This window comes from Homo sapiens, chromosome 16 (genome assembly GCF_000001405.40).
Source record: "Homo sapiens chromosome 16, GRCh38.p14 Primary Assembly".
NCBI classification, from domain to species: Eukaryota; Metazoa; Chordata; class Mammalia; order Primates; family Hominidae; genus Homo; species Homo sapiens.
Genome location: NC_000016.10, coordinates 57,060,666 through 57,086,826, shown reverse-complemented (window position 1 = coordinate 57,086,826; position 26,161 = coordinate 57,060,666). Strand labels below are relative to the sequence as shown.

The window sequence follows — 26,161 nt, the reverse complement described above, 5'->3', positions numbered from 1 at the left end:
TCTAAATACTCTTTTTTTCCCCCAAGACAGGGTCTTGCTCTGTCCTCCAGGCTGGAGTGCAGTGGCATGATCTTGGCTCACCGCAGCCTCCACCTTCTAGACTCAAGGGATCCTCCTACTTCAGCACCCCACCCCACCCCTACCCCCCGCCCCGAGTAGCTGGGACTACAGGTGCATGCTACCACGCCCGGCTAATTTTTGTGTTTTTTTGTAGAGACGAGGTTTCGCCATTTTGCCCAGGCTGGTCTCAAACTCCTGAGCTCAGGTGATCCTCCTGCCTCAGCCTCCCAAAGTGCTGGGATTATAAGCGTGAGCCACTGCACTCAGCCCAAATACTCCTTTTAAAAATAGTGATTTTTAAAAGCTTCCCAGGTGACTCTAATGTGCAGTCAGGGTTGCGATCCACTCATCTACAGTCTTGCTAAGCTAAGTATGGCCCAGCAACATGGCCATCACTTGGGGGCTTCTTAGAAATGCAGAATCCCAGGTGTCTGGGGCTGTCTGGAAGGGCTGGAGAAGTCTGGGTATCCTGCCCCAGACTTGCTGAACCAGAATCTGCATGGTGACAGGATCCTGACACCCTTACAATTTATGTAACTGCAGTTTTACAGCTTGGGAACCACTGGCTGGACAGATGTGTGTTTAGGGGAAGGATAGAGGAGGCAATTTGACAGCACCTGAGGCATGTGAAGGAGGCGAAGGGGGAGTCTGTGACTTCCATCAGAAAGATGGACATTCAGACACAATGGACTTTGGGGACTTGCGGGGGAAGAGTGGGAGAGGGGCGAGGGATAAAAGATTACAAATATGGTGCAGTGTATACTGCTCGGGCGCTGGGTGCACCAAAATCTCATGAATCACCACTAAAGAACTTACTCATGTAACCAAACACCACCTATATCCCAATAACTTATGGAAAAATAAAATAATAATAATAAATAAAACTAAAAAAGAAAGATGAACGTTCAATTTGTACAATTATAAGACTGAGGCCAAGAGACAAAGTAGTAAAAGGAGATTCTCCCCATCTTGCAGATAGACGCGGGTACTTACCAGCCTGATCGCATTCTCAGTGCGATGGCTCACATGCAGAGACGGGGAGCTTCCATTGGATCTTACTGCTTGCCACCCCATAACCTTGCTTTTCTTTGAATTTTATTTGTTTTCATGTATATATTTAAACTGAGCCTACTTTGGGGAGGAAGGGGGCAGGGAGGCTGTACTCCATCCGTGCTGGATAGAAAAACAGGCCGGGCATGGTGGCTTATGCCTGTAATCCCAGCACTTTGGGAGGCCAAGGCACGTGGATCACTTGAGGTCAGGAGTTTGAGACCAGCCTGGCCAACATAGTGAAACTCCGTCTCTACTAAAAATACAAAAATTAGCCAGGTGTGGTGGCGAACATCTGTAATCCCAGCTACTCAGGAGGCTGACGCAGGAGAATTGCTTGAACCCGGGAGGCAGAGGTTGCAGTGAGCCCAAATTGCAGCACTGCACTCCAGCCTGGGTGACAGAGCAAGACTCCGTCTCAAAAAAAAGAAAAAGAAAAAGAAAAATCAAAAAACGGTTAAGGCCTCCAAGCAGGCAGGTGGCAAGAGAGGAAGTTTCTTAATAAAATGAACAAGGCAATTTCACACCAACTTGATGTAGGCCCAGCCAGCTCTGCAGTGCCGCAATACTATGGTTTATTTCAGGGAAGCTGCTGAAAGTTTCTTGGAGTGTAGAATTTGGGCAGATATGAAGGGGGGAAAAGGCGAAGAGAGAAGTAAAATGGCTAAGCAGCAAATGAAAATAGTGTCCTTGAGCTCCGGGGTCCCCTGTCCCCCATGGCCAGGTGCCTCTGCTGGTATCCTCTGCTCCTTCCTCGGCCTTGGCTCCCCTGCCAAGCTATTTCCAGGCTTTGAGGGATTCATCCTTCATTCTTGGGCAAGGAGAGGAGGCAATGCAACCCCTCTAGTGTGAAGGTGATCTTGGGCACACTGAAGGCCAAGGTCAACTCGGCATCATGTCCCAGGAAAGGGAGACAGAATTTCGGACCCAGGGTTGCCTGGTAAACTTCTTGGATCCTCTTCCTGCCTACTTTTTCCCCCATGAGCAGGCTGACGGGCCCATTTGGTGCTAGGTGTGCCCTGACCCTGGCCCGGTAAGGGTGGCCCTGTGTGAAGTATGGGTGCTTGGCACTTGGCTGGAGGACTTTCTCCTCATGCTTGGCAGGGGGCCAGGAACAACCTGGAGGGCTGCAAAGGTCAAGGCCAAGCCACCCAGGTGATGTCACTGGTAGGCTGGGACATCCCAAGCTACTAGGCCGGGTGGGAACAGGCCCCAGCATCGCCTCCTAACTTCCTTCTGGGTCCCACAGTGGAGGAAGTTATCTCATGAATCGCCAGTGGGCTAGCCTGCCCTCCAGTGGTGCTCAGCTGTAACTGCACCACCCTCCCGACTTGGTTTTTCACAATGGGGTGGGAGGCTCCCCCTAAGATCAACTTGTTTTAACTACACGAGGGAGACAGGATGCTGATCTGTCATTTTGGGCATCTCTTCACGTCATATGATATTCGGCTATAAAAAGAGAGGAGAGCTAGGATAACTCGTTTTTGTTTTTTGTTTTTTTTGCCGGTAACTTTGCTCGTCTTGCTTTCCTGACCTCTCCAACAGTCTTAATGTGTGTCTGTGTGTTGTGGGGGTGGCTGCTAACCCACATACCTCAAAGACAGGTAGCAAAGGGTTAAGTCACATTCTATTCCATGCCTGTCTGACTTCCAAAGCCATGTTCCTCTGGTACAACATACCCATGCAAACTCTCTAGGCCAGGGTCAAAGAGCAGCAAAAAGTGGGGTCAGGTGGGGTGTCAAGACAATGGGGAGTGGTGGGGACTGCAGCAAGCTGAGGCATGTGTGCACATCTAAAAGGCACAGTCATGTGACTCTTCAGTGGGAGTGCTGGATTAGCACTTAAAAGCAAGCAGAATCTGAATTTTTATGTAAAATTCCCAATTTTGAATACTGACAATGAATTCAGAAAGTAGTTTCAATGTTATGCAAGTCAAACAAAAAATGTTTCTAACATGCTGAGCTTCTATAACACCCTCACGTTGCAGGCGAGGTCTGGAGAGAGGAGGTAACTTGCCCATGGCCACGTGACTAGAGACAAGTCCTGAGCTGGGAACCCATGTCTCCTGACTCCCAGGCCAGTGCTCCACTCAGCACACCTCTCTGTTGTTTGCGCTGCTGTCCAGTCCTTACGGCAGGGGGTGAACCACCTCTGACTTCAGTGGGGTAAGAGGAAACATTGGATTCACGCTAGACGTGGAATACCATTGTGTTTATTGATCAAGCCTGGCTTCGAGTGTGACAGAGCCATTCTTGGTTCTCCTTGGAAGTAACAAGAACACTGGGTAACATGTGAAGTGCATGGAGACTCACCTGAATCCCACCAAAGTAGTAGCTGGACCCAGTAGCCTAGCTTATTGTCTTGGCAGTGCCCCCTACCCAGTACCATTAGACCTGGCTTTGTCCCTTACATAGGACAGACTGGGCTTCTCCACTCCCGCCAGGCTGGCCCTACCTCCACCTGTCCTTGGAAGCTAGTATGTAAGTAAGGGAGGAGTCATCAAGTTTATAGATGGGTAGGCTGAGGATTGAGGCAGGAGGGGACTTAATGGCTGAGTCCCTGGCTTGTTCCAGAGCCCTGGCCCTTGAGCCCCTGGACTGGTCAGTGCATGGACACTCTCCCCTCCCAGCTCGGGCGGAAGACTTTTCCTGACTTAGCTGCTCCATACACACAATCTATAAATATGTATTTGCTTTAAAAATTAATAAATTAGATCTTGGGCCAGCCTGAGGTCATCTGGCCAGCCATGAGTCCTGTGACATGGACATTTGTCATGTGTCATATATAGACCAACAATCATGTATCCTGCTACTTGGGATGCCAGCACCCATGCCACAGAACACGTGCCACACTGACTTTCATGTAACGCCACATGTCAAGGGGTCACACTGCCACATATAACCGTACGTGTCATGCATTGTCATGACACCCTCATTGTGTGTCGCATGTCCCCAATTGATCACACATATCCCACGTAATGCAGGGTACTCCTTTGTCCAGACCCAGCTCCTGGTTCCCAAAAAAGTTCTCCCTGAGGACTGCAGCAGGACACACGTATCCTTCCTCCTGGGTGGAGTGCAGAGCGCCCTGCCGAGGCTCTTCTTTCCTGAGTCAATTATCCCAGTGGGCGAAAGGTGGATCATTTGGGTGCATCACTTGGCTGGATTCCAAAGGTCTTGAGGGGGCCATCAAGTACCCCAAGGGGCCTGGGGCTGGTTGTCAAAGAAGGCAAAGTCCAGCCTGGGCTCCTGGCTCTTCAGGTGCTGGGCCATGTCGCAGGGAATGGGGTTATTCCAGAGGCTGTGGGGCACAGATATAGGCACTCATTCATCCTCCCATCTTTGCCATCTGTCGTATCTGCAGATTGGGAGGCTGAGGCCCAAAAAGGTAGAGCTGTGCCTAGAGTTACCTGGCAGAGGCAGGTGTTAGACCAGCATAGCTGACCTAGGGAGAGGGTGTACCCCACACCTGCCTCCTGAGTCCTCCAACTCAACCTTCCTCCCTGGGAGATAGTGATGCCAGCTAAGGCCACACTCATATGACACATTTGTGCAAATAAGGAAAAGACCCTCTTTCTTCAAGATGTTTTACTTCCATCTGTCTGAAATTGTCATAATATATGATTTTGGTAGAACAAGGTACTTTACTCTCATCTGCTAGAAATCTAGCAGGTTGACAATGTGAATGGTGCCCCTTAGGTTTAATGCCCTTGTGCAGTGCACAACCTATACAACTGTATGTGATGGCTCTGATTATAGCTGCCATTTTAAGTGCTTACTATGTGCCAGGCATTGGGTTCAGTGCTTTATATGCTCATTTAGTCTTCACAACTCTCTGAGGTAGATACTATCAGTATCCCCATTTCACAGATGAGAAAATTGGGGTTCAGAGAGGTTGAGTTATGGCTACAAAGTTACACAGTTGGCAAGTGGCAGAGCTGGGGTTTGATCCAAGTCTGCTTGCTGCCAAATTCTTGGTGGAGTGGTCCAAGTCTCCTTTGATAATCCCCAGCCCAGGCCCTGCCGCCTCCTCCAGGGAGTCCCATTAGATCTGGGGGTTGGTGTAGCCTCCCACCCACCATCCCTGCCCCTGCAGGCCTCTGTTACCGGATGACTTGGATGCTAGACCCCTGGGCCAGTCCTTCAGCCAGGAGCCAGGCCCCCAAAGCTGTGATCTGATTCTTCTCCAGGCTTCTCAGTGGACAGTGAGGGGAGGGGAAAGAGAAACACGGCCATGAGAATGGGTGTGAGAGTTTCCTAGGTCCCTTCCTCAGGCCAAGGTCAGGGGACACAGTCTCCCACACTACCTTCTCAGGGAACCCAAAAGACAACAGGGGACTGGTGGCAGGTGCAGCAGGAAGGCTGAAGGCTAGAACCCAGGGGGAACTAAGCCTGGCAGGGGCTTGGAACAGGCCAGAGTGTGCAACTCAAGGAAGGGCTTTCTGGGAGGCAGGGGACTGACCCAGTGGCCTCTTGGTGTTCCCGGGATGTAGGTCCCCCTTTAGCCCGTCCCATTCCTCCCCCGGCCCCTCATACTCCACTCTCTTCAGCCGGCCCATCTGCGGCAGCACCTGGGCCAGCTCGGCAGCTGCCTCATCCCCGAGGAGATTCCAGGACAGCCTGCAGGGTAGGGGTCCCAAAGTCAGCGGCAGGAGAGCAAGGAGGTCGAGGGGTGGAGACAAGGCAGTGAATGGGGAAAGCAGGGTGCCAGTCGTGGGGGCAAGGGTTTTCAAGAGAGGCCACCTGATAGGGTGCTTGTGTGTCCTCCCCTGAAGACGTCAGGGTGCAGGTTACCTTCCTCCCTGCTCCCCTCCCCGTCAAGTTTGAATCATGACGTTGTTCACAAGATGTTGCCATTTTTGCCACATACATGTACCTCCTGTATTTAAGATGCATCATATTTTTCTTTAAATTGGCCCCCTCTTTTTTCTTACTTTAAAAAATTAATCTTGGCTGGGCGTGGTTGCTCACGCCTGTAATCCCAGCACTTTGGGAGGCCAAGGTCAGGTGTTTGAGACGAGCCTAACCAACATGGTGAAATCCTGTCTCTACTAAAAATACAAAAATTAGCTGGGTGTGGTGGTGGGCACTTGTAATCCCAGCTACTCAGGAGGCTGAGGCAGGAGAATCTCTTGAACCCGGCAGGTGGAGGTTGCAGTGAGCCGAGATTGCACCACTGCACTCCAGCCTGGGTAACAGAGGGAGACTCCATCTCAAAAAAAAAAAAAAAAAAAAATCTTGAAAGGAAACTTTTATTGCTACTATCAATGGAAAACTTGTGTTACAGACTCCATATAGAAGGTAGTTACAAAAATAAATATAGTACAAACAATGGTATTAACTTCTAGTTGGAACATATGCCCTTCCTAAGATGTTGGGTTTTTAACCCTTTTGGTTAAAAAGGGAGAATCCAGTGTTAGGTGTTAAAGATGAATTACCACTGATCTGAGACTTTCGCTTTGGTGTAATGAGAAGGGTTAAGACCTTTAGGATGCAAACTAAAATCTTCTCGTAATCACTTGTGTCCTGTTCTTTAGGAAACAGCTTTGTCCTCCATACCATGGTTAGGGTCCCAGGCTAGTCCTAGAATTCTAGTTTACTCATGAGGCAGCACTGCAAAGCCCCAAGGTCTGGGGGATTCTGATTGCTAAGAGACAGCCAAGCACGGCCAGCCAGCAGGTCTGGGGGTGGCTTTCTCCTGGCTTTAGCCACTGTTTCTACCAACTGTGGTTCATAAATGGAGGTTTCATCAAGCAGGCAAGGTGGTCTATCCAGTTGCCTCCCAAAAGGAAGGTTGGACCAAAAACCTTTAAAGACCATCTGGTCCACCTCCCCTCCCACCAATCTACAAATGGGGAAAAAGGCAGAAGAAGGTAAACTGTTTTACCCAACATTACCTGCAGCTCAAGTGTTAAAATGTCTTTGAGAGGATGTCTGAGTAAGGATGATCTTCCCCATTTACAAATGGGAGGACTGGCCAGAGAGGATGGGAGCAGCTCCAGGCCACACAGCAGGCTGGAGCCAACTCCCCCGACCCCTCCCGACTTTTCCTTTTCCCAGCCAGCTCAGGGCTCTTCCAATCACTCACAAGATTACTTCCAGGGCAGGGCAGCTCGTGAAGCTGGAGGTGAGGAGCTTGGCAGTCTGGTTGTCAATCTTACAGGAAACCAGGCTGGGGATGGAGAAGGGCATGGGATGGGATGGGGGTTGTTTGAGTCAGGGGATCTAGCAGGTCCTGCCTCCAGAGCCACCAGGGTCTGGGGTAAGCTAGGCGTTTTAGGAAAGACTTCCTTTCTTGAGCCAGGCCCCCACCATCCCTGGGGCTTCTATCACTTCAAAGGCCTCCCCAGGTGTTAGGCTCAGTCAGAGAAGGGCTGCCCTCAGCCTGCCACTGGTCCCCTAGGCAGGCAGGGGAGGCTACTTACTCTATCTGTCTGAGCAGCGGGAGCTCCATACAGAAACGCAGGACCCCTCCAGCCAGGTTGTTTTCCGCCAAGCTGCAGGGTAGGGGAGATACCTGTGAGAGGAACCCCCAGACCCGCCCAGGACTGTCCCCGTGCCTGGGCTGGGCAGCCCCTACTTACCTGATCTCTTCCAAATGGGGGGATCCATCCAGGGCCTGGGCCAGGCTCAGGGCCCCACCTGGGCCCAGATGGCTGAATGGTAGGCTGGGGAAAGAGGAGAGGGTGAGAGGAGCCTGAGGGACTGGCGTTTCCAGAGCCCCACCCTCAGCCTTGTCTCAGGCTGCAGTGCCAGCCCGTAGACAGTCTCTGGCTAATTCCCCATCCACACAGGACCTGGGTAGGTATCAAGGACCCTGGCTTTGGGGTCTGAGATCCCAAATTCAACACCTGGGTCCTTCGTGTATGAGTAAGGAAAATTCTCCACACCTCTCCTGGCCTTCATTCCCTTGCCTGGAAAAGGGAGCACATAAAAGTCCCAGCACCAGCCAGCCATGGTGGCTCACGCCTGTAATCCCAGCACTTTTGGAGGCTGAGGTGGGTGGATCACTTGAGGCCAGGAGTCCAAGACCAGCCTGGGCAATATGGTGAAATGCCGTCTCTACTAAAAATACAAAAATTAGCTGGGCATGGTGGGCATGCTCGTAATCCCAGCTACTCTGGTAGCTGAGGCACAAGAATTGCTTGAACCCGGGAGGTGGAGGTTGCAGTGAGCCGAGGTTGCACCACTGCACTCCAGCCTGGGTGACAGAGAGAGACTCCATCTAAAAAAAAAAAAAAAAAAAAAAAACAAGGTCCCAGCACTCTGGGACTCTGGGGGCTGCCATGGGGCTGCAATGAGGTCATTTGTGAAGTGCTGAGGCCACGTTGATTGGCACCGTGCTCCTGCGAAGCCCTCTGCCAGGATTTCTCATTCGCCCTCAGGGACCCGCTCACAGGGCACAATGAACTGGGATCATTGTACTTCTTTTGCATGTGAAGAAACTGAGGCTGAGAAGGGGCAGGGGTTTGGCCAAGGTCAGGCAGGGGCCAGTGGCAGAGCCAGGACTAGGCTGGGCCTCCTGATTTTCTTGCTGCAGACATCAGAGGCAGGGAAGGAACAGGCAGGAGAGTGGGTATATGCCAAGCTTGACTTGGGGCAGGGCAGCTCAACTGATGGGGGCCTGGACCCCCCCACTGCTCCCGAGGACCCTCCTCCCCACCAGCCCTGCATGGTATGGGCAGGGGGCCACTCACTGTAGGACCCTCAGGTGCTGGGGCAGCTCCTGAGCCAGCCCCAGGGCTGTGGGATCCCCCAGGGCATTGCAGCCAAGCCTGGAAGAGGAGAGGAATGAGCATTGAGTACTGGGCCTGCCCACTCGGGACCCCCGCCCTGCCCTGTGCCCACTGCGGGAGAGGAGGCCAGGTGGACCTGGGGGGCACAGAGGGCAGAGGCCACCTGGGCAGACACTCACATCAACTCCTCCAGGCGCCTGCAAAGAACGAGAGACTCTGCCAACTGCACTCCCCCGGCTGAGCTGATGCTATTCCCTGAGAGGCTGTGGGAGGGGGGCAGCCATCAGGTCCTCTGATGCCCCCTCTCCCCGACACCCCAGCACATCTGCTGGGTCTGCCACCCCTGCTTCAGGGGGCCTAAGAGACAACCCCCCGACACCACACACCTACCCAGACAATGAGGCAGAAAGGCCCAGAGAAGAGCAGGGGCTGGGGTGGCTTAAGGTCCCGCAGTGAGGGCCAGGAGGTCACCGAGCCCCACTGCCTGGACACTGAGGTTGGCGCAGGGGAGATTTTACCATGCTGGCCTCAGCTAGGGGCCAGTATCTCCTAGGACCATCGTGTGACCCCTGTGGCCCTCCTCTGTAGGGCTGGCTACTCACTCTATCTTCCTGAGCTCTGGCAGCCCAGGCAGGATGGTAGCTAAGTGCTGGACACCAGCGTCTCCAATCTGGTTGTGGCTCAAGCTTGGGGGAGAAAACAGCTTCATCAGCCTTCTGCCGTCTCATCTTGTCCACACCCCACTCCCAGAAAAAGAAGGGGAGGCTGAAGTCCCAGGAAGGGCCTCGACTCACACAGAGAGCCCCATCACCCCATGTTGAGTGACAGCTCCTAACCCTTGGCTTCTGTTTAGGATGTTCTCCCCATTGTCTGACCTAAATCCCTCTTGCTACAATTGACACTCTTACATCCTGTCTTTGGGTCCCCCAAGCTTCTAGGCCCCAGGTTGTTTACACAGTGTAGAAGTGGGTGAAGGAGATGAGATGAAGAAGCAAAGGGCGTGCTCAGGTAGCCCCTTGCCCTTGTCATCTTTCCCGGCCAAAATTGTCCTGGGTCTGGGGGCAGAATGGGCAACTCACTCCAGCTCCTCTAGGCTGGTGGCAGCCCTGAGAGCCTCAGAAAGGTGGCAGCAACCGACATCACCGATACTGTTCCTGTTCAGTCTGGAAAAGCAGGGAATAGACCAAGAGGCTTTCAGGAGCTTAAAGGCCTTTGCAGGTGCTGTGCTAAGAACTCTACAGTTTGCAAAGCCTTACACGCCCAGGAATTCATATGCTGGTAGCAAAACTTCTGGGGGTCATGGCAGGTGGGGAGTGGTGAGCAAGGTGGGAATTATTGTCCCCAGTGTCCAGGTGAGAAAACTTGAGAGCCAGCAGTGAGCTGTGACTGGCCAGAGACTTAGGGACTTGCAGGCTGGGTGGAAACAAATCCAGAGCCCCTGGCCCAGGAGGAGTCTCTACATTTCTTTGCCAAGCTTCACCTCAGCCTCTGTGTCAGGGATCTCCGGGCTGGCCCGGCTGAATGCCACTTTCACGTGGGATTCTCTGATTCACGCAGATCAGTTCTCAGGGGCATATGTGTTCTCATCCATGCAAATGGTAGGTTTTTCCTTAAACCCAGGGTATTGTCTTTACTGAGCCCTGACCTTGCTCTGCCTGGGTAGGAAAAAACAATAAATAGCTGAGGCAAATGGTCTTAGCCCCTTGGGAAGTATTTGTTTGCATGTTGTTTTTACTTTCTTTTATTTTGCAAATTAAATTTTAATGGGGCTGGGAGCAGTGGTTCACACCTGTATTCCCAGCACTTTCGGAGTCTAGGCAGGTGGATCATTTGAGGTCAGGGGTTCGAGACCAGCCCGGCCAACATGGTGAAACCCCATTTGTACTAAAAATATACAAAAATTATCTGGGCGTGGTGGTGCATACCTGTAATCCCAGCTACTTGGGCGGCTGAGGCACCAGAATCGCTTGAACCCAGGAGGCAGAGGTTGCAGTGAAGTGAGATCATGCCACTGCACTCCAGCCTGGGCGACAGAGTGAGACTGTGTCTCAAAAAATAAAAATAAAATAGAAATAAATAAATACACTTTAATGGATCACCTTTCAGTAAATTAATTTTGGGTGAAATGGTCCAATATGATATAACCTCCTGGAACTCTCTAACCTCATTTCCTACCTACTCTGCTCTGCCCGAGGTAGGGGGTAGGAGGTGTACTTGGATATAAACAAAGCAATGCTTTGTGTCACTGCTTGGATTTGTTTTTAGTCACAAGATTTCATGTTTTGAAAAATCACATTGAAAGTAAGTGTCATGTTTATTTATCCTAGCAGCAGGGAGTGAAATCACAAAGGGAGTGTAGGAAGGCCACCCCATCTGAGTCTAGACCCACACTACTCAAAGTGCTGACCGTGGCCCCCAGAATTGATACCACCCGGAAGCTTGTTAGAAAATGCAGAGTCTGAAGCCAGGCGTGGTGGCTCACGCCTGTAATCCCAGCACTTTGGGAGGCCGAGGTGGGCAGATCACCTGAGGTTGGACGTTCAAGACCAGCCTGACCAACATGGAGAAACACTGTCTCTACCAAAAATACAAAAATTAGCCGGGCGTGGTGGCACATGCCTATAATCCCGGCTACTCGGGAGGCTGAGGCAGGAGAATCGCTTGAACCCGGGAGGCGGAGGTTGCAGTGAGCTGAGATTGTGCCATTGCACTCCAGCCTGGGCAACAAGAGCGAAACTCTGTCTCAAAAACAAACAAACAAAAAAAGAAATGCTAAGTTTGGGTGCAACGCCTTAGGCCTGTAGTCCCAGCTGCTTAGGAGGGTGAGGCAGGAGGATCACGTTCGCCCAGGAGTTTGAGGCTGCAGTGCAACACGATTGCACCTGTGCATTGCCACTGCACTCCAGCCTGGGCCACACAGTGAGGCCCCAACTCAAAAAAAAAAAAAAAAAAAAAAAAAAAAAAAAAAAAAAAAAAGCACAGTCTAGGCAGAATTCCAGACCTGGGGAATCAGAATGAGCATTTTAACAAGAGCCCAGGGTGAACTGTGTGTGTGCCTCAAGGGTTGTTCTACGACGTGGGCCTAAGCCCTTTAGGCCACTTTTGTAACCAGGAGGAAGCTGATGGCATTAGAAGGCAAGAGCAGTGGGCACCCACCTGGGAGGGCACAGGGATGGGCCTGGGAGGGATCCGCAAAGGATCCCCTGGGAGGTGGCCTCAGTGCTTCCCTGGATGTGGTCCCAACTGAGTGGGAAGTGTTTCTTCCCACTCATTCCCATGGGGCCGCTCGGTCACTCACCTGAGGCTCTGCAGGCAGGTCATCTGGCTTAGTCTGTGAGTAAGCAAGGCCAAGGTGGAGCTGTTCAGCAGAAGGTGACTGAGGCTGGAGAAGAGGAGGCCAGGTGAACTTGACATCTGGGGGTGGGGCACTGTCCAGTCTGGGGGTCTGAGGCCTCTGTGCTTAGCAAGCCTAGGGACCTCCAAGACAGCCACTTATATCCACACAGTGTAAAAATTCTACAAAATGAACTGTACTGGGAGGTCCAAATGCTGTTTCTCTGCATGAATTACTGAGGTCAGGCAGGCAGCAGTTCTATGTTCTGAACCACATGGACCAAGACTAATGATCCGTAATAATGGCGGTCACACATTGATCATAAAATGTGGGCCAAACTCAGGGCTTGGGGCCATCTGGAAAGGTGGGTTTATTATCGTCCCCATTTTACAGGTGAGGAACACCAAGGTTCAGAGAGTTAGAGAACTTGCTTAAGGTCATACACAAAGTGGCTGCTTCAGGAACAGAACCAAAAACTATAGAACTCCCATTCCTGAGCCCCAACCATATGTGACCCAGGCGATTGTACTTCTAGAGGCCCCCAGCCTAGGCAGGAGAGGAGAATAACAATAGCTAGCACTTGTAGAGTGTGAACTCTGACCAGACTCTAAGACTGTAACACATATTATCTCATTTAATACTCACAACAACCGTAGCAGGGGAGATTGCTCTTATCCTCAAAGTTAAGATGAGGAGGCCAAAGAACAGAGAGGCTGAGGGACTGGCACGAGTTCACACATTAAGAAACAGAACTGGCTGGGCGCAATGGCTCATGCCTGTAATCCCAGGACTTTGTGAGGCCAAGGCGGGTGAATCACCTGAGGTCAGGAGTTCGAGACCAGCCTGGCCAACAAAGTGAAACCCCATCTCCACTAAAAATAGAAAAATTAGCTGGGCCTGGTGGCATGTGCCTGTAATGCCAGCTACTTGGGAGGCTGAGGCAGGAGGGTTGCTTGAACCCGGGAGGCGGAGGTTGCAGTGAGCCAAGACTGTGCCACTGCACTCCAGCCTGGGCAACGGAGAGAGACTGGGTCTCAAATAAATAAATAATAAAATAAGAGGCAGAAGCAAAAGATGGTCAACTGTCTTGGTTGGCTCAGAACAGAAGAGTTTTTCCTGGATGTGGGACTTTGGGTGCCAAAATGGGGAAAGCTCCAAGCAAACTGGAAGTGTCAGTTACCCCACCCAGAGTTGAACCCAGGCAGTGAGGCTCCTAACTAGGGTCCATGCTCCTACCCACTCCATCACAGGTATACAGCTGGAAGAAGCTGACTGGATTTGAGGGTAACTGCCTGTGGGGAGTTACACTTGGAAATGACAGATCTGAGATGGGAAGAGACCTCCGGGCACTGACGATCCATCCCCTTCCTTCGGACAGGGAAGATATTATGCCCAGTTTACAGATAGGGCAACTAAGGCAGCAGGAGGTAAGGAGCAGCACATGGTGCCTGGGAAATCAGGAGGAAGAAAAAGGCCCCCAGGGGCATGGATGAATCTGTCCTGTCCCCGGCCCAGGTGCCCAGCTCAGTACATATTTGTCGAATGCATGAATGAGCCAATGAATGACCTCACTGGGCCTCCAATCCCCTAAATAAAAGCTTCCAGAAGGCTGAGCCGAGATGCAGGTACATGGACAGTGGGCAAAGAAACAGACCAGTGAGACGACAGGAGGGCCCTGTGGTCAAAGGTCTCTGTAATCCCTCTTCTCCTTTTACCTGATCCTCTCCCCAGGACAAGCAAAGAGGGACAAGCGGAAGAATTTCAATGTTAAGGGGCAAAAAGTCAAAAGGCTACTTTCAAGCTGAATTCAAAACATATGTAGAAAAAAAAATCTGGAGAAAAATTCACAAACCGTTCAACAGAAGTTTTCTCAGGGGGTGTCATCCCCGGGGCATTTCATGTTATTTGTTACATATTTCTAGAAAGATGGAACTTTTTTGGTCATCAGAAAAAGTTAAGAGATGAAAAGCAGAAGATATTCTGTTAAATTTTCTGTCCAGATACTGTCTAAACAGGAATCTGTGCAGGACGGGGACCTGTCTTTTAGACTGAGGCTGTTTCTGGCATTTCTAAGAATTTGATGACTTCAAATTATGGGGGAGAGTAGTAAAAGCTGCCAGTTACCAAGGAAACAACTGTAGACAAATGTAGTGGACATCTGTAGATTTTTTTCTGCCCAGAGTTTCTTTCCTCTTCTGTTACTCACATCCTGAAATACCACCCCTCTAAGTCCAGAAGATAGGGTGTGCATGCGCCCAGGTCTGGCCAGTGAGGAGAATATTTTGTGCTCACAGCCACAGTGATTGCTTTAGGGTGGGGCAGGTGACTCAAGCTAGTCCAGTGAGACTCAGTCTAGGACCTTTTGTTGTAACCACAGAGAGAATGGTACTCCCTTTCCACTAAGCTGAGAGAAAGTAAGCCTGCAGGTGCAGGGATGGCCTGCCTGAGAAGGAAGCCAAGGTGGACAGAGAAAGAGTAAGGGCCAGAGTGAAGTGTGTGAGAGAGAAGCCTGACAAATATAGAACCCCTGGATCCAGCTGTGCCTGAAGTCATTGGCCTCGTAATTTTCCATGACATAAGCCAATATATTTCTGTCTTGGATTGCTTTGAGTTGTGTATTCTGTTTCCTATGACCAAGGTTCTTGCTGGCACTGAGATCCAGAATAGAAAGTAAAAGGTCATGTAAGGGCATTCAGCTCACCTGGGTCCATCCAGAAACATGGCGGTTTGTGTTCACAAAACATGCAAAGGTTCCTAGGCATGCTACTCACTGACCATGCAGCACTAAGCACCATCACCCCTCACTCACTCCTTTCCCCATTAACCACTGTCATCCCTCACTCACCCCCTTCCCCATTAACCAACCCCACCACTCACTCACAACTCTTCCCTATTAACCACCCCCACCCCTTACTCACCCCCTTCCCCATTAACCACCATCACCACTCACTCACAACCCTTCCCCATTAACCACCATCACCACTCACTCCCTTCCCATTAACCACCATCACCACTCACCCACCCCCTTCCCCATTAACCACCAACACCACTCACTCACCCCCTTCCCCATTAACCACCACCACCACTCACTCACCCCCTTCCCCGTTAACCAACCCCACCACTCACTCACAACCCTTCCCCATTAACCACCATCATCGCTCACTCACCCCCTTCCCCATTAACCACCAACACCACTCACTCACAACCCTTCCCCATTAACCACCATCACCACTCACTCACAACACTTCCCCATTAACCACCAACACCACTCACTCACCCCCTTCCCCATTAACCACCATCACCACTCACTCACAACCCTTCCCCATTAACCAACCATCACCACTCACTCACAACGCTTCCCCATTAACCAACCCCACAACTCACTCACAACCCTTCCCCATTAACCACCATCATCACTCACTCCCTCCCTTCCCCATTAACCACCAACGCCACTCACTCACAACCCTTCCCCATTAATCACCATCACCACTCACTCACAACACTTCCCCATTAACCAACCCCACCACTCACTCACCCCCTTCCCCATTAACCACCAACACCACTCACTCACAACTCTTCCCCATTAACCACCATCACCACTCACTCACCCCCTTCCCCATTAACCAACGCCACCACTCACTCACAACCCTTCCCCATTAACCACCAACACCACTCACTCATCTCCTTCCCCATTAACCACCAACACAACTCACTCACAACACTTCCCCATTAACCACCATCACCACTCACTCACCCCCTTCCCCATTAACCACCATCACCACTCTCACACCCTTCCCCATTAACCACCATCACCACTCACTCACCCCATTCCCCATTAACCACTCCCACCACTCACTCAGCCCATTCCCCATTAACCACTCCCACCACTCACTCACCCCATTCCCCATTAACCAACCCCACCACTCACCCACTTCCACCATCCATTAACCAACCCCACCACTCACCCACTTCCACCATCCATTAACCACCCCCACCACTCACTCACCCACAACCACCATCACTACTTACTCCAGCCTCTTTAGCATCCATTTCCCCTCAAGGGCCCTCATCAGCGCCTTGGTGCCCTCCTCATCAAATTGATTGTTAGACAAGCTGCAGAAGACCAGGCAGAGGCAAGGGTTAGCGCAGCCTGCCCAGCCCTGGAGCTGAGCTGTCCTGTCAGCTCCCCTCTCCTGCTCTGTCCCCTGGGAGGCCAACTCTGCATCTGCATGCCCTGGGCCACCCTCGCTGTCCAGGTTCCCCATGGGTATCCCTAGCTCCAGGGCTCAGGCTCTGGGTAGGCATGATAGTCACAGCTGGCCCAGCTGAGAAACTATGCCCTGGATGAAGGCTGCAGAGAGGAAGCTGGGGGACTAGGGACACACACACACACACACACCCTCTTGTTCTTCAGCCCTCTCCGTAGCCTGACTCCCACAGCCAGCCCAGCAGAGCAAGGCTCATGAGCCCCATTTTCATAGATAAGGCAATCAAAGCCCAGAGTGGAACAGCCATGCCCACAGCCCCTCTGTGAGTCAGTGGCGAAATTCAGACCAAAACTGTGGTGCTCTTCCTTCCCCAGGCCACACCCAGAACTGCTGCACTTCATCAGGGGAAGGGTCATTGGTTGAAGTCTCATTGCCTGCCCTCCCAAACGCCCTGCTCTCTTCTCCACCCCTCACCCTCAGCTGGGCCACTTGTCCCCAATCCCTCCACTCTGCAACTCACTCCAGCTCCTCCAAGTGGTGGCAGTGGCCCAGACCAGATGCCAGGTGGGCGAGGCCCTCGGTGCTCACACAGCTGGAGGTCAGCCTGGTGGGGGTCAAAGGGCAACAGGTCAGGCAGGAGCCGCCCTGGGTCTTGGGAGCTCTGAATGCTGGTGGCAGAGGGCAAGGATGTGGGGTAGGGATGTGGCGGGCAATGTGAGGAGACCTCCTTCCCTTCGTAAATCTCTTCCACCATGAACTCATTAAGCCACCACAGAGCTTGGAAGCAGAAGCATGGACTAGTTCAGTATTTCCTAAACCGCAGTCATTCAGGTAGCAACTTCACAACTTAAGCCAGGATTAGGTATCACTGTAGTTTAGCTAGTTACTGTTGTTTATTACAAACTCTGCATCTTTAAAGCAAATACTGAAGAAGTGTCAAAGATCTCTCTGTCCTAAAGAGTTTCTTCCTTTTTAAACATTTATTTTATTTATTTATTTTTTGTAGAGATGGGGGTGGTCTCGCTATGTTGCTCAGGCTGGTGTCGAACTCCCGGGCTCAAGCGATTTTTCCTCCTCGGCCTCCCAGAGTGCTGGGATTACAAGCTTGAGCCACTGTTCCCAGCCCAAGAGTTTCTTCTTGGTGTAATCAGTTAGATGGAAATAAAATGTAAAGTTAGGAAAGCTACATTTTGCAACTGTCATGCTGATTCATCGATTTAAGTAAGATTTATTAACGGCTGCTAAAATTTGCCAATGAGAGTTTGAGGAAGACTTAATACATAATCTTAAAGTATCTCCCCACATAATCTATGTTGATTACAAAGGGAAAGTTAGTAAATTTGCAAGTGGAGAGACCTGGCAGACACCACTGTCACAGGTGATCACAGTTAACATCACTAGCCCGAGGACTCTGACACATCATGTGCCCCGATGGAAGGCACGATAACACAGCATCACCTGTGTGATATTCCTGCCCAAAGGGCAGACTCTAACTCTAAACATGAGGAAACATTGGACAAACCCAAGTGGAAGGACATTCTATAAAATAACTGGCCTGTAAATGTCAGAGACAATGCTATGAAAGACAAAGAAGGGCCAAGGACGTGTTCCAGATTGAAGGAGACACTAAAGAGATGACACTAAATGAGACGTGTGATCCTGGATTGGATCCACAACTGGGAAAAAAATGCAATAAGCAACATTATTGGGAGAACTGGTGAGATTGGAGTATAAACTGTAGTTGAGATAATAGTAGTGTATCAATGTCACATTTCCTGGATTTTATAATTTTACTGGATTATGGAAGAGAATGTCCTTATTTCTAGCAAATTCGCTGAAATGTTAACGGGTAAAGGGACATGATTACAACTTACTTCTAAATGGTTCAGAAAAGGAGAGAGGGAGAGAGTGAAAGAAAAGGGAGGTGGGAAAGAAGGAGGGAGGGAAGAAATGAGCAAATGTGGAAAAAGATTGGCAAAGGGTGAATTTGTTCTTTTTTTTTTTTTTCGGAAACCGAGCCTCGCTCTGTCACCTAGGCTAGAGTGCAGTGGCACAATCTTGGCTCACTGTAACCTCAGCCTCCCGGGTTCAAGCAATTCTTGTGCCTCAGCCTCCCAATTAGCTGGGATTACAGGCATGCACCACCATGCCCAGCTAATTTTTTTGTATTTTAGTAGAGACGGGGTTTCACCGTGTTGTCCAGGGTGGTCTCGAATTCCTGAGCTCAGGCAATCCACCTGCCTCGGCCTCCCAAAGTGCTAGGATTACAGACATGAGCCACCACGCCCAGCTCTAAGGGTGAATTTGGGTAAATGGCACACAGCAGTTCTCAGTCTTCTTGAAACTTTGTGTTAGTTCGCAGTTATTTTAAAAGAAAAACAATGAAAGAGTGTTAAAAAGGGAACAACTTTCTTGCCATGTGGCTCAATGTTCCTAAGGTCATGTTTACGACTAGGTACCCCTAAAAATCATCTCCAGGGCCACCTGTGGTTTGTGTCCACAGAGTAAGACACAGAGTAAGAGTCCTCTGAGCCCAGGGCTGGGAATAACGGGAGGTGTCAGGGCAGGGCAGAGCTGCAAAGGGGACTGAGTGAATGTCTTGTCTACATACCGAAATGTCTTCAGCTCAGAGAGGGACAGCAGGAGGCTCTGCAGCAGCAGGGAACTGGCATCATCGTCCTCACAGAGGTTAACCTGAGACAAGCTGAAAAGGTCCAAGGATATTCTAGAGGATTTCAGGCTGGACACACCTCAGAGGTCATCACATCCAGAAGGGGGTGCCAAGAGAGGAGAAGGGGCCACCCAAGAGCTCCCCTGAGCCACCCTGGGGCTCTCCCTCCCCTCCACTGGCCAAGTGTGATTTTCTCCTGCACAAGGAAGTGAGAATGCCAGGGTCACACATGGCCTGGAGTAGGTACCAGGGTCAACCAGAGAACTCAGGGCCCCACACAGAGTTTCCAGGCGCTGACCTGAGCTGCTGCAGCCTGGCACATGTCTCCATCAGCTGCCCGACAAGAAGGCTGTGGTGGGCTCCAAGGTCACAGTGAGCCAACCTGGACACAGACAGGGAGACGACAGTTTTGGAACATCTAGTCCAGTATGTGGGATTCAGTATCTGCCTGCAAGGAGCTTATGGTGTAGGGGTAAATAAATGCTGATCAAATGAAGTCCTACAGTTTGCTATTCACTTATGAGAAGTGCTAGGAAGCAGGAGTCCAGATGGGGCAGCTGGTATGGTTGTGCAGGTTGTTCACCGCACAAGGACACACAGCCGAGGAGGTGAGGTGAGGCTGAGATCCTACCATGCTCTATTTCCCAGAATGTACACATGCAGGGCTGCATCCACTCAAAAGGGTGACATTTTAATTTCCCAAACTGTGCCATATGGATTTAGAGGTGCTGTGAATCCAGGGATCTATAAGAGTGGATAATGGAAGTGTTTGACTAAGCCTTGGGGTCCAGGGGGCCTCCCTGAGGTGGTGGCATTTAAGCTGAGACCTGAGGGATGAGGAGGAGTTAGGCAGGTGAAGCAGGTAGGCGTGAAGAGAACATTCTGGGCAGAGAGCACAGCCTGTGCAAATGCCCTAAGGTCTAAGCAAGATGGTGTTCGGGGAACTGAAAGTTCATGGGGGTGACTGGAGCTGAGACTGGGGCCTGGAGTGGGGCTGAAACGCCTCAGAAGTGGGTTGGTCAGACCTCTGTAGCCTGTGTAAAGACTTCGAACCCCTAAGGTCTCTGGGCAGGGTGGTGAATATTGGTCAGAAGCAGCCCTGCCCCCTCCCCAACACCAGCCCCTGCCTTGGGGTCCCTGGTGCTGGGTCCCACCTGAGTGCCACAGCTTCTGGATTCTCTTCCTGGCGAGGAAATTCCAGCTGGACACAGAGCTGCTGCTGGGTCTCGGAGATGCTGAGGAGTGAGCAGTAACCAACGTGAGGTCGGGCAGCCTTCCCCGGAGGGCCTAGCTGGCACCTGGGCTGCCCGGCTCCAACTCTGAACTCTCACTTTGCCTGGGTCCCCTTCTCCCCTGCCAGGGACCAGCTTAGGACTGGAAAGTAGGTGCTTCCGTGAGTCACACACAATACCCCAAGTAGTGCCTTTTCAACAATTTTTCTCTTTCTTTTTTTTTTTTTTTAAAGAGACAGGGTCTTGCTCTGTAGCCCAGGCTGAAGTGCAGTGGTGGGCACGATCATAGCTCACTGCAGCCTTGAACTCTGGGCTTCAGTGATCCTCCTGCCTCGGCCTCCCAAAGTGCTGGGGTTACAGGCGTGAGCCACCGCGCCTGGCCCTTTTCAACAATTTAAAGTTAATAAGTTGATAAGCCTTTTCAGACCATGACAGAAAGCCATTAGAGGGATCCAAGGGCAGTTCCAGAATTTTCTGAGGGAGGGGCACAAGGACCACAGTGTGGTGGAAGGGTGGGGTAGGGGATGTGTCTGGAGTCTGCATTTGCGCTCTAAGCTCACTGCCTTCACTTGAATGTTATGTTCATGGGGTGCTTATGGGGAGAGGGCTATGGGAGATTATAAAGTCCCCAGAGCATCCCCTTGCTCACTCCTGGAGGAGAGAAGGAAGAAGCAGGGCAGGCTGTGTGGCTGGTGACAGTACAGCAGACATCTTTACAGGCTCCAGTTCTTGTAATCCTCCCAGCCCTGCAAAGGGCCGTAATTAGACTCTTTTAAGAGCAGGAGGTTGAGGTCAGAGAGACACAGTAATGGGCTCCAACCAGTAAGTGACTGAGTTGGGATCTGAACATAGCTGAGTGGGATGCTAAAACCTTTGCTATAAGCTACTCTGTGTGTCATTGTGTTATTTCTGGTTGAAGAGCCATAATGTGTGTTACTGCATCTGGGGGGCCACTTCCAAGCAACCAGCGTGGACTCCCAGCCATGTCTGCCTGGATCCAATAGCCCTTTGTTTTGATTCTGGGGATGTCTTCCTCTGACACTGTGGCTTGACTACTGCACTAGTCCCAACAAATGTGTAGCCCCTCACATATGCCCCAGGAGCTCCTGCTACCCTGGGGACATGGAAAACTAGCTGGTGACACAGCTATTACCCCACAGGATGAGGGAAGGTCAAGGAAAAGTCCCAATGCTTATGAAAGATGAAGAATTCCAAAGGGGCCTCTTCTCTGGACTCACCTGATTTCAGTGACACTGCCTGAGGCCTGGGCGCAGACTTCTAACAGGGAGAGAACCCTGGCTCTGTCCGCCCACGGCTCCTGCACCCTGTCACAGAAGGGGACACAGATAAGGCCCCCCCAAGGTGAGCAGCAGACAATCAGCACACATGACGGGGCCGGGGGAGGAGTGTCAAGGGGGGGACCTAGAGGCTTTTTGAGTTTTTTTTGCTCATTTTAAAACTATAAAATTATACAAGTAGGCATCAATCTAAAAAAGGAAATTAACATCACCCTTATTCCAACAACTATTGTTGTGACAATCCAAACAGAAAATATTATTTTTTAAATGATATTTTTATATTTTATTTTTTTATCTTATCTTATTTTATTTTTGAGACAGAGTTTTGCTCTTGTTGCCCAGACTGGAGTGCAATGGCATGATCTCAGATCACTGCAACCTCTGCCTCCTGGGTTCAAGCGATTCTCCTGCCTCAGCCTCCCAAGTAGCTGGGATTACAGGCATGCGCCACCACGCCTGGCTAATTTTTGTATTTTTAGTAGAGATGGGGTTTCACCATGTTGGTCAGGCTGGTCTTGAACTCCTGACCTCAAGTGATCCACCTGCCTCGGCCTCCCAAAGTGCTGGGATTACAGGCGTGAGCCACTGCACTGGGCCACTGATATTTTTAGATTTAAGAAAAGATTCACATAATGTTACATCACAAAGGTAAGGAAACCAAACTGTATATAAAACATGATCCCAATTTTGCATTTCAAAAAAAGGAAAGTATTTGGAGAAAAAAAGTGTGGAAAGAAACAGGGAGAGAGATGTGTGGAAAACATAGGAAAATATATTAAATGTTCATGGTGGTTGTTTAAGATGATAGAATTCTCATGAGTGATTTTTATTTTATGTCTTCTTTAATTTTCTATATTTTCTAAACTTTCTACAATGCATGTGCATTAATTTGAAAGTAGGAAAAAAGAGAATTAAGTCAAATATTACTGCTTTAAAGTTATGCTGAATTTTTAAAGCACTATTTTCTTTATGTATTTCTGGATTTTCTGCACATTTCAACAATGATTAAATATTATTTTTTTATTTTTATTTTTTGTAGATATGGGGTTTTGCCATGTTGTCCAGGCTGGTCTTGAACGCCTGAGCTCAAACAATCTGCCCACCTCAGCCTCCCAAAGTGTTGGGATTACAGGCGTGTGCCACTTCCCCCAACCAATATTATTTTTAGACTAAGAAAAGTTTTATTTGAAAATGTTATTTTGGCTGGGTGCAGTGGCTCACACCTGTAATCCCAGCACTTTGGGAGGCTGAGGTGGGGGGATCACGAGGTCAGGAGATCGAGACCATCCTGGCTAACATGGTGAAACCCCGTCTCTACTAAAAATACAAAACATTAGTCAGGCGTGGTGGCGGGCACCTGTAGTCCCAGCTACTCTGGAGGCTGAGGCAGGAGAATGGCGTGAACCCAGGAGGCGGAGCTTGCAGTGAGCCGAGATCGCACCACTGCACTCCAACCTGGGCAACAGAGCGAGACTCCGTCTCAAAAAAAAAAAGTTATTTTGGGTGCTCTAGCAATTCTGGATATATAACCAAAATAATTGAAAGCTGGGACTTTCTGGCTGGGCATGGTGGCTCACGCCTAGCACTTTGGGAGGCTGAGGTGGGAGGATCACTTGAGCTCAGGAGATCAAGATCATCCTGGGCAAAACAGTGAGACCTCATCTCTATTGTTTTTGAAATAAAATAATATTTAAAAAAAGAAAGCAGGGACTGTCAATTGGGCACTTGAATGGACAACCCAAGTGTCAATTGATGGATAAGTGGATACACAAAATGTGGTCCATCCACACAATGGAATATTATGCAGCCTTAAAAAAGGAAAGGGCTGGGTGTGGTGGCTCATGCCTGTAATCCCAGCACTTTGGAAGGCCGAAACGGGCAGATCATCTGAGGTCAGGAGTTCGAGACCAGCCTCGCCAACATGGTGAAACCCTGTCTCTACAAAAATACAAAAAAAAATTAGCTGGGTGTGGTGGCGGGCGCCTGTAATCCCAGCTACTCCGGAGGCTGAGGCAGGAGAATCGCTTGAACCCAAGAGGTGGAGGGTGCAGTGAGCTGAGATCGAGCCAGTGCACTCCAGCCCAGGTGACAAGAGTGAGACTCTGTCTCAAAAAAAAAAAAAAAAAAAAAAAGGAAGGAAAGTCTGACACAGTGACACACGCTGCAACATGAATGAACCAGAGGACATTATGCCCAATGAAATGAGCCAGTCACAAAAAGACAAATACAGACAAATACAAATGACTCCACTCATATAAACTATTTAGAGCAGTCCAATTCATAGAGACAGAAAGCAGAATGGTGGTTGCCAGGGGCTGGGGTAGGGGGGAAATGGGGTGTTGTTTAATGGGGATAGAGATTCAGTTTTGCAAGAGGAAAAGAGTTCCGGAGATTGGCCGTACAAAAAAGTGGATGTACTTAACACTCCTGAATGGTACACTTAGAAATGATTAAGATGGCAAATTTTGTTATGTGTATTTTATAATAATTTTTACAGGTTATTTTGGGGAACAGTCAGTTCTTAGGTGCCTTGTCACAGGCTGCAATGAGAAGTGCACAGCTCTGTCGGTGACGTAAGTTTTTTGGGCACAAACATGAAACTGAATGTCATGGAGCCTTTTGATCTAACGTCCAGTTTCCAGGAAAGTCGGGGTTAGAGGAACACGTGCCATGACATCATGAGAAAGCCACCAGAGTCAGGAGCAGGACAGTCTGCAGTACACACAGTTGCTGATTTTGTCAACAGACACTGACATGAAACAGAAAGCTGTGGTGAGGGGATGGGGGCAGTGATGCCGCAGGTTAGAAGAGTCAGAAGACCATCGCCATCCCGTGCAAATGCAGACCAGATGTGACAGATCCTGGATCCCAAAAGCCAGCTGTCTTATCTGGGGGACAATGGGGACATTTTAGATTAGACTAGGTAGTACCCGACACTAAGGAATCGCTAACTGAGTTTCTTAGGTGTCCTGATGGAACTGTGATTACTGAAAAAAATGTCCTTATTTTTTGGAGCTTCACGGTGAAATATTTAGGAGTGATGGATTATGAGGTCTATAACTTACTTGAAACCGCTTCAGCTGAAATAAAAATAAAAATAGAAGCAAATATAAAAAAAGTATGAACAACTGTCAAACCTAGGTTCTGGGAATAGGAGTTTTAAAAAATTATTCTTTCTACTTCGGTATCTTCTTTTTCTGAGTGTTTTAAAATGATCATAGTGAACAGACAGACAAGAACTTCGTTTCAGTTTATTTTTGTCCTCAGTTCAGTATCCTCTGAAACCTTCTTTCTTTCTTTCTTTCTTTTTTTCTTAAATCCCAAAGCACAGGCCTCCAGTGTGGGGAAGGACAGTTTCTCTGTGTGCCTTGTGGAGTCTCTGGGACAGATGGACAGGGTTTGCTCAGGGTCCAGATGGCAGGGTTGTGGGTACAGGAAATGACTGGGGCCATGATCCTGGGGGCCTCTTACTCCAGTGCCCACCCCTGCTCCCATTCATGCCATGGCCCCTCCCGGAGGCAGCGGGGGAGGAGGTACCTGAGGCTGAACAGCCCTGCGGGTCGCCCCACCAAGCTCAGGAGGATGGCCAGCTGCTTCTGGCCCAGGCAGCACTGGGTCAGCCTGGAGACAGAGGTCAGTCACTGAGGTGGCTCTGGCAGGGTGCCCCCACCCCTCTGCTGTCCTCACGGGCTGGGTGGGTCACTCACGTGAGCTCCGTCAGCTGCAGGGACTTGCTCAAGCCGGTGGCCAGCCTGGACACGTGCTCTGGCCGGAAGCTGCACTCACTTAGCCTGAGGGCAGAAAGCCAGGGCAGAGCCTGGGTGAGGCCTGTGGGCACTGCTGCTCAGCTTCATCTCAGCCTCCCTGAGGGCCTATTGGGGGAGCATCCCACCTCTGAGGGCAAAGGCCTGGAGCAGGGCCTGAGAGGCCAAATATGCAGCTCCTGCTCTGGGAGCTTCCTGTCTCTTTGGGGAGGAACCTCCCACACCCCCTGTAAGAAAGTATTAGGAGTAAGTTATTTAGGGAGGCTGACTCTAGGTCAGGCACTGTGCCAGCCTCTGGGTGCATGGGACTTCCTGCCTTACCCGCAGGGTCTCCTTTAATTCTCATAGCACCAATTAGAGGTGGGGAAACTGACTAACCCAAGGACACACAGCAGATAAGAAAGAAGGGCAGAATCTGGTTTCCATCCAGGTCAGTCTGACTGCAGACCCCAAGCTCTTAACCACTGCCTTACTCTCCCGGACCAGCACTGGCTGAGCTCCCTGGGGAGGGAGGTGTGCCTGGGATTCTCCGTGGGGCTCTGCTGTCCAGGCATCTCAGCCCTGGGTGGCCAGCAGACGGGCCCAGCCAAGTGAAAGGGCCCAGTGAACCTCGGGGCAGTTCACTCTGATGAGGCAGGGCTGCTGGGATACTTCCAGGAGGGGCTGATGTTTGAGCTGGGTGTTAAAGGATTGGGAGAATTTTATCTCAGAAAAGGCAAGGAAGAGAATGTTGAGCTGAGTGCGGTGTGAGCAGAGGCAGAGAATCTTCAGGCAGGGCTTGATCTAGGAGCAAATAGTGAAGGTTATGG

The 26,161-nt window shown here is 50.4% G+C and overlaps 1 protein-coding gene across 44 annotated transcripts in view, besides 4 other annotated features; it reads right to left on the bottom strand.

The window, feature by feature from the left end:
- Positions 2,165 to 2,294: an enhancer, noted in NCBI's record as "active region_10881". NCBI's record gives its function as "activates an Ori minimal core promoter by ATAC-STARR-seq in GM12878 lymphoblastoid cells {active_cell/tissue: GM12878}" and the evidence as "EXISTENCE:reporter gene assay evidence [ECO:0000049][PMID:35858748]".
- The window catches only part of NLRC5 (NLR family CARD domain containing 5), a 93,964-nt gene continuing 71,109 nt past the window's right edge, over positions 3,307 to 26,161 (bottom strand). For 22 of the 44 annotated variants that reach the window (NR_169520.1, NR_169518.1, NR_169517.1 and 19 more), the window contains 19 exons: positions 25,296 to 25,379; positions 25,126 to 25,209; positions 21,529 to 21,615; positions 20,213 to 20,293; positions 19,357 to 19,440; positions 18,999 to 19,091; positions 16,908 to 16,991; positions 16,209 to 16,292; positions 12,144 to 12,227; positions 9,925 to 10,008; positions 9,448 to 9,531; positions 9,025 to 9,108; positions 8,807 to 8,884; positions 7,694 to 7,777; positions 7,535 to 7,606; positions 7,198 to 7,281; positions 5,646 to 5,729; positions 5,217 to 5,300; positions 3,307 to 4,410 (listed from right to left, as the gene is read on the bottom strand). Coding sequence is in view for 34 of the 44 variants with exons in the window: in NM_001384950.1 (NP_001371879.1) it covers positions 4,299 to 4,410; positions 5,217 to 5,300; positions 5,646 to 5,729; positions 7,198 to 7,281; positions 7,535 to 7,606; positions 7,694 to 7,777; positions 8,807 to 8,884; positions 9,025 to 9,108; positions 9,448 to 9,531; positions 9,925 to 10,008; positions 12,144 to 12,227; positions 16,209 to 16,292; positions 16,908 to 16,991; positions 18,999 to 19,091; positions 19,357 to 19,440; positions 20,213 to 20,293; positions 21,529 to 21,615; positions 25,126 to 25,209; positions 25,296 to 25,379 (1,615 nt within the window). In the remaining 10 variants the exon portion in view is untranslated. Of the gene's footprint in view, positions 4,411 to 5,216; positions 5,301 to 5,645; positions 5,730 to 7,197; positions 7,282 to 7,534; positions 7,607 to 7,693; positions 7,778 to 8,806; positions 8,885 to 9,024; positions 9,109 to 9,447; positions 9,532 to 9,924; positions 10,009 to 12,143; positions 12,228 to 16,208; positions 16,293 to 16,907; positions 16,992 to 18,998; positions 19,092 to 19,356; positions 19,441 to 20,212; positions 20,294 to 21,528; positions 21,616 to 24,051; positions 24,477 to 24,653; positions 24,669 to 24,823; positions 24,968 to 25,125; positions 25,210 to 25,295; positions 25,380 to 26,161 lie in introns of those variants that run through there. The other 22 variants (NR_169514.1, NM_001384961.1, NM_001384964.1 and 19 more) reach the window with 10 other exon arrangements.
- Positions 15,954 to 16,678: an enhancer, noted in NCBI's record as "H3K4me1 hESC enhancer chr16:57104061-57104785 (GRCh37/hg19 assembly coordinates)". NCBI's record gives its function as "activates a minimal SCP1, AML or CMV promoter by ChIP-STARR-seq in naive H9 embryonic stem cells {active_cell/tissue: H9 hESC(naive)}" and the evidence as "EXISTENCE:reporter gene assay evidence [ECO:0000049][PMID:30033119]".
- Positions 16,679 to 17,404: an enhancer, noted in NCBI's record as "H3K4me1 hESC enhancer chr16:57103335-57104060 (GRCh37/hg19 assembly coordinates)". NCBI's record gives its function as "activates a minimal SCP1, AML or CMV promoter by ChIP-STARR-seq in primed H9 embryonic stem cells {active_cell/tissue: H9 hESC(primed)}" and the evidence as "EXISTENCE:reporter gene assay evidence [ECO:0000049][PMID:30033119]".
- Positions 24,286 to 25,485: an enhancer, noted in NCBI's record as "BRD4-independent group 4 enhancer chr16:57095254-57096453 (GRCh37/hg19 assembly coordinates)". NCBI's record gives its function as "activates an origin of replication core promoter dependent on BRD2, P300/CBP, MED14 and CDK7 cofactors, and independent of BRD4, by STARR-seq in HCT116 cells {active_cell/tissue: HCT116}" and the evidence as "EXISTENCE:reporter gene assay evidence [ECO:0000049][PMID:35650434]".